This window comes from Homo sapiens, chromosome 5 (genome assembly GCF_000001405.40).
Source record: "Homo sapiens chromosome 5, GRCh38.p14 Primary Assembly".
NCBI lineage: Eukaryota > Metazoa > Chordata > Mammalia > Primates > Hominidae > Homo > Homo sapiens.
Window position 1 is genome coordinate 10,397,875 of NC_000005.10, and position 13,850 is coordinate 10,411,724.

Here is a 13,850-nt window from a genome sequence, read left to right on the forward strand (position 1 = left end):
TTCTTTGACAGCACACAATGGTCCCTTCCATTGGGACTAATTAGAGAAAGAAAGGCAAGGTTGAGGAGACACTGTTGACAGAGGTTTTTCTCCTTTCCAGAAGAGGTAAGGAAAACTAAGTTGAGTAAACCAAGGCCTTAGAATTCAGTTTCTGTATCTCTTAGGGGTGAGGACGTAGAGTCTGATGGAATGGGGTTATTGTTAGGTGTCCTATGATTTGTGTCTCAGAGACTTCAGGCAACATATCCCTATATAGGGATAATCTATGAGAAATTCCTTCCTTAGTACATGGGATTTACCCCTCAGCTCTGCTGAAGAGGATGAGTAGAGATTTCCCAAGGCTTCTTCCACCAAATTCCAAGTTATTTGCTCTGTTGAGGACTACATTGTGACGTGTAAAGCAGACGTCTTTAATAAGAAGCCATGTGGTGTAAGGGGCTTTGAATATTTGGACTGAGGATGAGACCAAAAATTGATTTCTGTGTATTATCTGTAAAAGAGGAAGATAAATTTACTTGTATTTTGTTAACAAAGTATTTCGGATACTTCCATTGATTTCTTAATTTTTAGTAGATACTCACAAAGGTGCAGATTTATTAGGATTTTTTGTTCCCTTTACATGTGGGGGTGTCTGTATGTTATCCTGCATTTATTTTTCATTATGTAAAATAATTCATATATAGACTGTGAAACTGTTATGATCTTGACTGCATTTTTTTTTTTTGAGAGAAAAAATGATCTATAGATTTAAGTCTTTACTCTTGCAGAAAAGCTTAATGCTAAATTAATGTTTGGAGAACCAGGTCACATTTAAAACATGAATTATACAAATAAGAACTCTGATTTATAGAAATCAAATCTAAGTAAAGCTTTTTCTAATCCAACCTCCTGAGCTTATATTGCGAAAAGAATTTTCTTAGTAAACTTATGTTTTATTATATAGTTAGAATCTTTTGGAATCTTTTGAAATGAAACAAGTTTTCTTCCATTAGGAACATACTTTTTCTTTTAATCATTGGGATTAAACACCCTCCTGTTTTTTTCTTGCATGGGTTGCTCTGTTGGAAGTTTTCTACAGGCAGTTTTTTGGCTCTTGTGGTCATATGCTTTGCAGAAATATAATTTGACAAAGCTGTGGTCTTCCACTAGAAGGTGACAATCCTGAGAAATTGTCCTTAATTTCAGGATGCCTTTCCATTAGTTTGTGTGTAATGGGATGGAAATTGATTGTTGCAACTGGTATTTAAGGTTAATAATTATTTAATACATCTGCTAATAGAGTTAAAACTTGCCCCTCCCAGGGGCCTAGTTGAGTCATCTTCAGACTGGGATATGAGAGCAAAATAGGCAAAATTCAACATACAGTTTTTTTCCTTACCTTATTAAATTTCTTCTGCTTTATATTACACACAATATGTTAGTAAACTAATACGTATATATAATTTATAAATAAATTTAAATATATTGGAAATACATGTTCAAAAATATTCTTACCCATGAAATAGTCAGAAAGGGTTAGAGGCCAGATCCCTAGTAGGTTCACTCTGACTTCTGTCTTCATGATTGAGTTTCCCACTCCCCTGGTAATCTACTGCGCTGTCGATTTATTTCTACCATAAAGAAAAGATAACTATATTTTATTATTAGGAATGAAGTAAAATTTAGCCAGAAAGACTTGAGGAAAAAGAAGACTATAAAAATTCTCTTGCTATAAAGGTTTTAAAAATACTTTCATACTTAGCTATAATGCCATTATCTCACCTTACAAAATTACTAGAATTTGGTATTTCCTAATAATCCATCATATTCAAACTCTCTGGGTTGTCCCTTACATACCATTTTGCAGTTGGTTTCTTTGAATGAAGACCCAAATAAGGTCCACATATTACTTTTAGTTGTTAAGTTATAAGTTATTAGTCTTTTAATCTAGAGTACTCTTCTCTTTGCTTCCCCCAACTCACCCTATTTGGCCATTGATTTGTTGCTGGGATTAGGTTAACTGTTCTTGCAGCATGTCATGTTTTACATCTGTCCATCTGCTTCCTGGATGTCCTCTGCCTTTATCCTTTGTCTCCCATATTTCTCTTAAACTGGAAGTCAGATCTAAGGGCCTTATTAGATTCAGGTTGAATACATCTGGGACAAATCCATCACTGGTCACACTGTGCCTATTAATAGTATATGTGAGGAGCTGAGATACATGATGTTGGATTATCCACTTTTATCACTGGATTCAGCTGATATCAACCTGGGCCTCTAATCTTAGGTTTTGTTTTTCCCTTTACCATTATAAAATAATCTGTTGGGAGTGATATTTTAAACAGTCATTTTTTATATTTATTGGCTGACTTTTCTGAAAGAAGAAGAAATTCTTATCAATTTGGGACTATTCAGTCAACCCAAACCTGTCTGTCCGGGGCAAGTAGGACAGATGCTCATATTTTTCCCATTAATTTTGGTTTTCAGAATAAGGAATTGGTGTATTAACTATTCACATGGGTGTGCTAACTGCTTCCAAAACATCAAAGTGTTTTCTTTGATGTTGCTTTTTCTCTTTTCGTGATTATTATTTTGGACTTTTCCTTTTTTGAGCATCATAAACTCATGGATTTGTGTATGTTCAGTGTTTTTCCATCAGTTTTGGTCATTATTCTTTTTGATGCTCATATTATCCTCTCTTTGGCCTGTTTTCACAATGGTTTCTGTGTTGATTTGGCATGGCCCTATTAGACCTTAATAGCTTTGTTGTTCTCTAGTTACAGAGAATGTCCTAGGCAGTGTATTTTTAGCCTAGTTCTGGAATCTTTCATTTCTCCAAGAAGCCCTAGTTCCTTTTAGTGGGGAATTGTAGTAGGAGTGTTCATTGTTTTGATGTCGGAGTTTTCATGGAATTTTTTCCCCCTTTTTAGCATTTTGCCCTTACCATATTGGTCATTTCTCCCTTGTTGGTTTGGGATTTGAAGAACACGTGAGTATAATACTTTTACAAAGTTACTTTCATTCATTACTCCCAAATGTGATTATTAATAAAATAGTATTCTAAAGAGTTACATCATTTCTTCATTGGCATTATGCAAGGGAATAGTTAGGCAATACCGTCTCATTCTTTTTTAAAAAAAATAACAGTGGCTCAAGAGATAGTGGTCATGTTGCCAACTAATGAAAATGTGCTCTGAAATCCAGTCAGCTGGGTGGGCCTGAGGCATACCGTGGGAAAGTTTCCCACAGGCTGATTTTCTGTCCATCTCAAGAACCTGTATGTTCTCTTCTTTCCCTTTCCCCAGGTGCCCCCTGCTGAATTTAGAAAAGTAACAATATATCAATCAATTTAAAAAGGGTAGAATATTTTGGAATGACGGGTTGTAGTGTTTTCTAGAGTGCTTTAGTTTTGACATTTTATCAGTATTTTCCAGAGGTAAATAAATTTTGGAAGGATTATTACTTCTCTGTTGGGGCCCTAGAACAATTTAGTCTTTTATGGAAAAGCTGACTATCTGGGATCATATGCTCAGTTTGTATATTTGAGATCTGAGAGATCACGTTCTGAAGTCTTCTCATATTTAGTACACCTCTGATTCTCACTAGTTGAATGCAAGAACTTGAAAGGTTCAGGTAAGTGTTTTGAAAAATTTTGACTTTCCAAACTTTTGCCACTTGCTATCTGAAACTCAGGAATCAAAAAATACCGACAGGCACTGTTACTTTCAAAATTCTTTCTATAAGTTGAGAATGGGACAGATTTGCAGAGCAAGGGAAACTTGAACAGTTACTTCTAGTGGTAGGAAATGAGGTGGCTAGGATATTACCCAGCTGGTGGGTGACTTGGGCAGTGTGTTCCTGCTTTCAGTGGTTAGCCTTTAGCAAATCTGCTTTAGAGTGAGAGTAGAGGGCAGGCTGTTGTATTACAGTGCTCTTGTTTTTGTAAAATTTAATTCACTCTACTGTTATTTTGTCTCCTTGGGTAAAGTGTTATTTAATTTTTCTTCATTTTTTAGTAATATATAACAGTCAGTGAGAGAATTTGGTTTTCAGAGATGTCATCCAAAGCAGATTTTACAGTTGTTTCCTGGTTATAAATTGTCTCAACAATTCTCTTTTAGTCATTTAGATTGTTTAATATGGGAAAACCGGGGTGTAGAACATGTTGTAAAATTAAATTTTATTTACTTTTTTCTTATTTCCAGGTCCAAGCATCTCATTTTGAAGGCCTAATCACAACCATAGTTGGGTATATACTTTTAGCAATAACACTGATAATTTGTCATGTATCCTTTAATGAACCAACTTGGGTGTACACTAATATTATTCATACCAAAGAACTCTTCATTAATGGCGAAACTTGTCTATCCTTGTCCTCTTAGTAAAAGTTGTAGGTATTTGCAGTAAGGGTCAGTGTGGACAAAATGTGAAATAAATTAATTCTGTCAAAAAATACTAAATGTTGGCTAAGTAGTTACCTGTTTCATTGTACCTTTAAATACTCAGTTTTTCCTTGACCTGATGCTGTAGGGCTTGGCAACTCTTGTGAAATTTCATAGATCTCGTCGCTTACTGGGAGTCTGCTATATTGTTGTTAAGGTAATTCCTGTTATAACTTAAAATTGGAAATGATTTCTCCTACATTTGGGTGATACTGATGACCTTTATTTTCACTTAAGGTCTCTTTGTTAGTGGTGGTAGAAATTGGAGTATTCCCTCTCATTTGTGGTTGGTGGCTGGATATCTGTTCCTTGGTAAGTTGAGTATTCATTATTGTATAATAGCATAATTTAAGGGCTTCAAAAGAGGAAGTCTTCAGCATGTATTCTTTTTAAAGGAAAGCAAATATTTGATAATTTGCTTATTCTTTTGGCATGTGTATCAGTATAGGATCTTAATGTTAATTTTTCTTGAGTACCTGAGTTTTTGAGGCTTTGTGCAAATTTTTGATGTCAGGATAGTTTGGGTGGAATCTTTCTAATAGTGGAGGATTTTATTGCCCATTTTGCTGTCGTAAATTTGTGTAGATAATGCCAAGACATTATATACATAGAGAATAATTTGATAAGGAAACTGTCTTTGTAGTAATAAATTTAACCCTAATCATTTGATTTAACTAATATGCTCAGTCTTGATTATACTCTTTAATTGCTGTTAGTGATAATCAGTTTTTGATTGTTTCAAAAATATTTTATGTGTAGAAAAGCTGCCTTTGGTTCTGAGATAACATTTACCCTCCCATACCTTACTTTTAAAACTTCTCAAGAATGCAGACCTATAACCAAGAAAATTTTTTACATTCATCAAAAATAGTTCTTTAATAGAATCAGTATTAATAAAGCTTTTACTAATTGGTTTATCATTCTTTATATTTGAAGCAGTAGCCAATCTTGTATATAGTTCTGTGACACCGTGGAATGACATTAAGTGAACTGCAGTTCTAGGAATTGTTCCTTGCATGCATATTGATTATTTATTTCCTAGAAGATGAAAATGTTAACTTGGCAAATGTAGGGGGCACAGATTTCTCTTACCTGTCCTCTTTTGTCTCAGGAAATGTTTGATGCTACTCTGAAAGATCGAGAACTGAGCTTTCAGTCGGCTCCAGGTACTACCATGTTTCTGCATTGGCTAGTGGGAATGGTATATGTCTTCTACTTTGCCTCCTTCATTCTACTACTGAGAGAGGTAAGTCCACAGGGAAATGCTGATGCTGTACATTTATAAAAAGGACTTTTGCTTTCACCACCAGTCATGTCTCAAAGGCTATGATGATTTCCTACCTAAATCATATTCTCTACTATTTTATTCTAAGAGGGAATAACTTATAGGGGACTTTGACTTAATTACTTTAAACTGTTTCAGTTGTTTGTCTCCATAATTGGCAAGTTTTAATATTTCTGTCTGAGTTTGAAAGACGATTCAACTGAGGAAAAAGATAAGAGTACTCATTTTGTCACACTTCGTATATACTTTAGCCATCCTCTAATACAGACTCTTGGAATTTTGTATGATGTGAGTGTGTCTCAGACTTCAAGGAACTGTACTGCTGGAAATAACCAAAAGGATATGGTTTTGCAGGATCAGACATGTAAAATCATTTTGATTTAGGCGCCTTAAGTATAGAATTACAATGAGGGTCCTTTATGATTCCAGTTCACTGGCCTGATGGATTACCTTTATTTATTTATTTATTTATTTATTTATTTATTTATTTATTTATTTACTTATTTACTTTTTGATACTGAGTCTTGCTCTGTTGCCCAGGCTGGAATGTAGTGCCATGATCTTGGAACCTCCACCTCCCAAGTTCAAGTGATTCTCCTGCTTGAACCTCCCAAGTAGCTGGGACTGCAGGCACCCACCACCATGCCCGGCTAATTTTTGTATTTTTAGTAGAGACAGGGTTTCACCATGTTGGCCAGGCTGTTCTTGAACTCCTGACCTCAAATGATCCACCCACCTTGGCCTCCCAAAGTGCTGGGATTACAGGTGTGAGCCACTGTGCCTGGCCTGATACCTTTATTAGTTCTATGTTTCTAATCTGGTTCTTAGTGATTTGAAGATGATGAAAGCAGTTGAGTATTTGATTAGTGTACATCTCAAGCTCAGTCATTCCCCAAATACTGAATGGTCACTGTGTGCCGGACACTATACTGCATTCTGGGGTTTCAGTGAGAAACAAAGGCACAATTCCTGTTCTCCTCGATTTTATAGCCTGAAAATGAATACAGCATTGAAAATGTTGGTTTACACGGAGACGGGTGATGGAGATGTGCAGGGTGTGGAGGACCAGGTTGACAATTCCAGTGAGAAGGGAACACAAAAGCACAAAGGCTGAATGCTGCTCTTGGTGTACTTTGTTCTTTGAAAGATTTGAGGAAGAGGAGGAGGGGTCAGGGACCAAAGCATTCTCCTGAATCATACGGTATAATTTCAGTAAATTCTCTTGGTAACTAAAGCTTTCATTCTTTCTTTGAAACAACTGATTGAGAACTAAAGCAAGTACAGAAATGTGTTTCTTAAAAATGTAATTATATGTGAACTCCAGATTACTTCATTAAGTGAATAAAATGCTTTATAATGATTTCTTTCATTTTATCAGTGTGGTGGTTTTTGTTGATATAAAATTTTAATATGTGGAACTTAGGCAGAACCTTAGAAATCACACACTGTAACCCCTTGTTTAGGAGATGGAGAATAGAAGTTTGGGCAGATTAGATGCGTTACACAGAGGGTAACTCAGTGAGTTTGGACCACATAGAACTAGTACCCAGACTCCTCCTTTACCCCATCACCTGCAGCCTCTTGGGTGATGATTTTCATTTACAGGGGGAAGGCAAATCAGACCGTCTATTTAGTACATTTATAAATTGCAACATAACCCTTTTACGATAGTAATGGTTGTATTTATTTTTCGTCTCAGAGGTCTAGATTTCTTGACACATTGGACCCAATGAATGTTTTTTTTTTCCCCCGCCCCTAGTGAATGATGATGTCAAAGGACATCATCAGACACAGGGTAGTTTTCATAAAGATTCTGGTTTAGGAACTTACTTTCCTAAGAATACCATGTACATTTTCTGGGGCCCACTTTAGATGCCAGAATAATTCTAAGTGCTTATCTTTCTGTTAATGTTTTAGCTCATATATAGAATTTGAAGACATTGGTGAATATTCATAGTATTTAAAATATATTTGCAGGTACTTCGACCTGGTGTCCTGTGGTTTCTAAGGAATTTGAATGATCCAGATTTCAATCCAGTACAGGAAATGATCCATTTGCCAATATATAGGCATCTCCGAAGATTTATTTTGTCAGTGGTAAGAAGATGTTTCCATTGTTTTTTTTTTTTGAATTAATTGTGCTAACCTATAGTTTTGTTTAGGTTTTTTTTTCCAGTTCTCAAGCAGGCTGATAGAGTATATTGAATAATATATTTATCTAAGCCTGTGGTATTCAGTTGTCAAGTAGCTGTGTTATTGGTTACTTTGTTAAAATAAATATGTAAAAAGATATTTACTAAAAGGAAGATACTTCCTTGTTCCATAGTAGTATAATTCAGGGGTCCCTAGCCCCCATGTTTTGGCTGGGTACTGGTGCATGTCCCGTTAGGAATGGCCGCACAGCAGGAGATGGGCAGCGGTCAAGCAAGCATTACCACCTGAGCTCCACCTCCTGTCAGATCAGCCTTGGCGTTAGATTCTCATGGGAGCGGGAACCCTATTGGGAACTGCGAGTGCGAGGGATCCAGATTGTGTGCTCATTATGAGAATCTAATGCCTGATGATCTGAAGCAGAACAGTTTCATCCTGAAATCCCGTTGAAAACTGTTTTCCATGAAACTGGTCCCTGATGCCAAAATGGTTGGGGACCACTGGTATGATTGATTGCTAAATTACGGTTGTCTGAATTACGTTTAATTTGCATTGAAGCAATGGAGACTTACTACTGGCTTGTAAATTAAACTCTTAACAGAAGCATGTCAAAGTTTCCCCACCCAGAAGAAGAAATTACATAGTTAAATCTAATTTCTTTCTTTTTTTTTTTTTTGAGATGGAGTTTTGGTCTGTCACCCATGTTAGAGTGCGGTGGTATGATCTTGGCTCACTGCAACCTTCACCTCCCTGTTTCAAGCAATTGTTGTGACTCAGCCTCCCAAGTAGCTGGGATTACAGGCGCCCACCACCAAGCTCAGCTAATTTTTGTATTTTTAGTAGATGCGGGGTTTCACTATGTTGGCCAGGTTGGTCTCGAACTCCTGACATAGTGATTCGCCCACCTCAGCCTCCCAAAGTGCTGGGATTACCTCACCCAGCCGTAAATCTAAGTTTTTCTAAAATAAAATTCTTAAAGTAACATTATGTCCTTTGAAAGCTTTTGTAGCCATTAACATGGGGCAAGTCTTAGCTGGTTACAAGTGATTTATTAAGTTGCAGGCATTTCTGCTTCCTCATTTTAAGTTTCCAGCTCATTCCTTAGGTAGCAAGTGGTGATTATCCTTTGTGGCTTCCGTTTTAGCATTTGTGTCCTAGATGGGAGGTCCTTACAGGAAGAGGGGCAGGCATCTTAGGAAAACATTTTTATACAAAATGACTCAAAGATAATGTGTAGAGTGGGAACCGCTTGGGCTTTGAGTAGACACAGGCCTGGACTGCATATTGCTTGAGTGTGCTCAGAAGTCTGCCTGTCTTGCACAGGAGTGATTGACTCTTATAGTGGTGTCATACCCTGTTTCCTTCTGCAGATTGTCTTTGGCTCCATTGTCCTCCTGATGCTTTGGCTTCCTATACGTATAATTAAGAGTGTGCTGCCTAATTTTCTTCCATACAATGTCATGCTCTACAGGTAAGTTTTAAAAATTTAGAATAGCTTTACTAATTTATCTCTATTAGGGATTTGATGTTCAGATTACATTAAACATTTAAAACATTTCTTATAGTTACTGGAAATCATCTGACAATTAAATTTTGCTTTATTTTACCTTTATTTTTATTATTTTTTAAATTAAATTTAATGTTTAAAAAATTTTCTGGACCTTTTCCACTTTGCATAAATTTTGCCTTATTTTAGATCAGATAAACATTAGTACTTACATTTTGTAAAGGAAGATGTTTATTTTTTCTGCGCATAAAGTATGCATTTGCACACCATTGAAATGTTTTACCATACCTAATGAGAGTGTATTAGCATCATCTTTATTTTGAAAAGCACATTATAAAGAATAAAGCCAGAGTTGCACATTTAATTATTAAAAATAGGGTACAAGGCTTGTAGATGGAACATCTTTTTTGCTTTAAAAACTTAAGTGGGCTAAGGCCAGGCGTGGTGGCTCACGCCTGTAATCCCAGCACTTTGGGAAGCCGAGGCAGGCGGATCACCTGAGATTGGGAGTTTGAGACCAGCGTGACCAACATGGAGAAACCCTGTCTCTACTAAAAATACAAAAAAATTAGCCATGCGTGGTGGCGCATGCCTGTAATCCCAACTACTCGGGAGGCTGAGGCAGGAGAATCGCTTGAACCCAGGAGGCAGAGGTTGCGGTGAGCCGAGATCGTGCCATTGCACTCCCACTTGGGCAACAAGAGTGAAACTGCATCCCCCCCCCCCCAAAAAAAAAAGCCATCCGGAAACCTCCCACTACCAGTAATCTTTACCACTCATCCTATATGCTCTTTAGGGATTTGTATTATCCCCACAGTCATTATCCCAATTGCAGGCAAATTGGATTATTTCCTCAAGTTTACTTCTAATGAGTCTTTAAAGTATTGCCAATTCTAATTTCTTAAAATCTCTTACTAATCTAACTCGATTTGCCACTTACTTAATTTAGGCCTTCCTCTTGCTCTCCATTCATCCGCAACACCTCTGCCTCTAGATTTTCTAGAACTTGGATTATTTTACCCCTGTGTTTAAAAGTTGGCAGCACTTCCTCTGTAATCTATGTGATATATACACCATTTAGAATGAGATGCAAGACTTGGCATAATCTCATGTTGCTTTTTCAGTGTCTTGTCTCAGCATTGACTGACTTCAATTCTTTTAATTGTGCTACACTGCCATTGAGGCTCCCCTGATTACTTAGCTGTTTGTCTTTTTCTCTCTGTTTACAATGACTTGCTTGTCCACGTTTGAGTGGCAAGCATTTGATATTCTTTTTAAAATCCAGATTAAGGTTTTTAAATTTTATTTTATTTTTTATGAGAAAGAGTCTCGCTCTGTCACCCAGGCTGTAGTGCAGTGGTATGATCATGGCTCACTGCAGCCTCAACCTCCTGGGCTCAAGTGATCTTCCCACTTCAGCGTCCCGGGTAGCTGAGACTACAGGCGCAAGCCACCACACCTGCCTAATTTTTGTATTTTTTGGGGAGACCGGGTTTTACCATGTTGCCTGTGCTGGTCTTGAATTCCTGAGCTTGAACCATCTGCCTGCCTCAGCCTCCCAAAATGTTAGGATTACAGGCATGAGCCACTGTGCCTGGCCATCATTCCATCCTTTAAAATTGTCTTCATCGTTGTATTTCTTTTTATAGCATTTGTTACATTACTTTACAAATATGTATTGTTTTATCCCAGATGGCAGAAATCATGTCTTATTTAGGTCTTTTTCTCTCTGTCTCTCTTTTTTTAATTTAAAAAAATATTTTGTGGAGACAGGGTCTGACTATATTGCCCAGGCTGGTCTTGAATTCCTGGCCTCAAGCAATCCTTCCACTTTGGTCGCCCAAAGTGCTGGGATTATAGGTGTGAGCCACTGCGCCCAGCCTCTTATTTGGATCTTAATGCTTTGCATAGGAACATGATTGTTCAAAAATAAAAGGTTTACTCTACACATAGTAAAATCTCAAATTTGTATTTTATTAAATTAGAATTGGAAAATACTTATATCCTGATTATTTAAAGTGGCAGAAAAAATGCCAGTAAGGGTATAGAAAGTGGGCAGGATGGGGTTACAATTTAGGAATAGTGACTGGTAAAGACCTGAGGGGGTGACAGTTGAGGAAAGCCCTGAAGGAGTTGAGAGAGTGAGCCACGTGGATCCCTGAAGGCAGAATATTCTTGCAGAAAGTAGGTGCAGTGGCACCCAGGTCTGTTTGAGGATCTGCAGGGAGGCAAGTTTGTCTGTAGTAGGAGGAGGAAGGCAAAGAATTGGCCCTGAAGTCAGAAAGGTCATGGAGAGCCACCTCCTAGAGAGTCTTACACGACATAAGCACTTTGGCTTTTGCTTGAGTGAATTGAGGAGCTCTTGGAAAGCTTTGAGCAAAGGAGTGATCTAACTTAGGTTTAAAGAGGATCATTCTGACTGCTGTGATGAGAGGAAACTGGGTTGGAGTGGCTAGGTCAGAAACAGGAAGCCAGCTGGGAGGATAATGCAATGATCCTGGTGAGAGGTGAGGGTGGCAGAGATGAAGGGGAGGTAGCAGTGGAGGCCTTGAGAAATTTTTAGGATATTGTTAAGGTACAGTCAAAAGGATTCTCTAGCTGTTTGGATGTGAGGTGTCAAAGGAAGGAGTGACCTTTTGTGTAACATGCTACTAATATAGCAAGTGAGGAGAGAACCAAGACCTACCCATCAGTTTAGCAAAATGAAAGTCTTTGGTGACCCTTATCAGAAACAATTTGGTGGAGTTTGTGGGGAAAGCCTCACTGAGTTGGAGAGAGAATGAAAGGAGAGGTAATAAAGACAGTAAGTTTATTAGATTCTTAAGAAGTTGCGTTGTAATCCCATTAAATAGTAGTCATATGCAAAATACAATTCACATTATAAATCCTGCCTCTTTCAGTGATGCTCCAGTGAGTGAACTGTCCCTCGAGCTGCTTCTGCTTCAGGTTGTCTTGCCAGCATTACTCGAACAGGGACACACGAGGCAGTGGCTGAAGGGGCTGGTGCGAGCGTGGACTGTGACCGCCGGATACTTGCTGTGAGTATGGGCAGCTGACTCCTTGGACATGCATGTCATTTGTGACTATGGAATAACCTTTCTGGAAAAAGTATGTTCCATGGCCCACTCAAGAAAAATTAGTTTTAATAAGAGACAATTTAGTAATATTTGCAATTGCATATAATACTTCTAAATGAAATTTTTTTTTCTTATTGTCCATCCTTTCATGGAGAATATATACATCTTTTTGCCCTCTTATAGAAGTTTGCTGCTGGTCCAGCTTTCATGGAGTAAATGTCTTTTTTTTTTTTAGTGCATTAAAAACAAACCAGTTTACCTTTATTTAGACCAACTAACTTACCTTTATTTAGTGCTCATAACCTGGGAAATGGGTTCTTCTCAAATTTGATTTCTCAATCTTCTAGTGAACATGTTGCATTTTTTTCCCCAAGCTTTATATACTCTATATTTATTTAAAAGTTGAATCTTTAAAAGTTTTTCAGTTTGGCATCTTGTAGGTATCTTAAAGGTGAAGTACAGATTTGGTTATATTTGCTTGAACATCTGTCGTCCTCTAACTGCTTCCTCCCCCAGTCTCATTTCTGACCTAACTGATTTATAGCTTGGAGGTTTTACAAATTTATAGCTTGTAGCTACATGTTGCAGTAGTCATCTGTAGAGAAGATAAGAAGTTTTTCTTTTCCTCCTGTAGATCCTTAACAATATTGTACATTGTAAGTATGTACTTACACCTTGTGCTTGTAAGTACTTACCTCTTGTACTTACAAGTGTACTTGTAAGTATCTTGTACATTGTACTTTTTTCTTTCAGTTACTGATTTCTTCTCAGATACTGGCTGAAGAAAACGTAAAATAGGTTGAATTTATGGGATATCCTACAAGTTCATTAACATTAGAAAGGTTTGATTTAAAGTGGGTACAAACATTTAGACCAAAATTAGGTAATAATGTGGTGCACAAATTCTGTATTATACATTTTCTACCCTTAGTAGTAAATATGAAGAAAATGAGTGTCATGTCTGCCATTTTATTGTGACCTGAAGTGAGACTTGTTACTGATGTAATTTTTGCACAGGGATCTTCATTCTTATTTATTGGGAGACCAGGAAGAAAATGAAAACAGTGCAAATCAACAAGTTAACAATAATCAGCATGCTCGAAATAACAACGCTATTCCTGTGGTGGGAGAAGGCCTTCATGCAGCCCACCAAGCCATACTCCAGCAGGGAGGGCCTGTTGGCTTTCAGCCTTACCGCCGACCTTTAAATTTTCCACTCAGGGTAGGTGCTATACAGACTTAATCACATATAGAGGTTTTTTTGGTTTTTTTGTTCTCCAAATTGCTGTTGAGAATTGGTGCTATTAGTATGCAGTCCTCTGTGTAGACATGTTCCACATTTTATTACCCTCATTATGTAACGTAAATGATTAGGTAAGTTTATCAAATTTTAGAGATAAGTCAAAGAG

The 13,850-nt window shown here is 37.3% G+C and overlaps 1 protein-coding gene and 1 non-coding gene across 13 annotated transcripts in view, besides 1 other annotated feature; both read left to right on the forward strand.

Annotated features, from left to right (window-relative positions):
- MARCHF6 (membrane associated ring-CH-type finger 6) overlaps positions 1-13,850 on the forward strand; it is an 86,694-nt gene that overhangs the window by 44,180 nt on the left and 28,664 nt on the right. For 10 of the 12 annotated variants that reach the window (XR_925577.3, NM_005885.4, NM_001270660.2 and 7 more), the window contains 9 exons: positions 2,910-2,968; positions 4,185-4,265; positions 4,510-4,578; positions 4,659-4,733; positions 5,533-5,667; positions 7,684-7,803; positions 9,228-9,328; positions 12,265-12,402; positions 13,459-13,663. Coding sequence is in view for 11 of the 12 variants with exons in the window: in NM_005885.4 (NP_005876.2) it covers positions 2,910-2,968; positions 4,185-4,265; positions 4,510-4,578; positions 4,659-4,733; positions 5,533-5,667; positions 7,684-7,803; positions 9,228-9,328; positions 12,265-12,402; positions 13,459-13,663 (983 nt within the window). In the remaining variant the exon portion in view is untranslated. Of the gene's footprint in view, positions 1-2,909; positions 2,969-3,038; positions 3,613-4,184; positions 4,266-4,509; positions 4,579-4,658; positions 4,734-5,532; positions 5,668-6,696; positions 7,067-7,683; positions 7,804-9,227; positions 9,329-12,264; positions 12,403-13,458; positions 13,664-13,850 lie in introns of those variants that run through there. The other 2 variants (XM_047416614.1, XM_017008944.3) reach the window with 2 other exon arrangements.
- Positions 3,143-3,192: an enhancer, noted in NCBI's record as "active region_22354". NCBI's record gives its function as "activates an Ori minimal core promoter by ATAC-STARR-seq in GM12878 lymphoblastoid cells {active_cell/tissue: GM12878}" and the evidence as "EXISTENCE:reporter gene assay evidence [ECO:0000049][PMID:35858748]".
- MIR10397 (microRNA 10397) lies at positions 4,490-4,557 on the forward strand. The gene has a single exon (NR_162106.1). It is a non-coding gene; the product is annotated as a microRNA 10397 (primary transcript).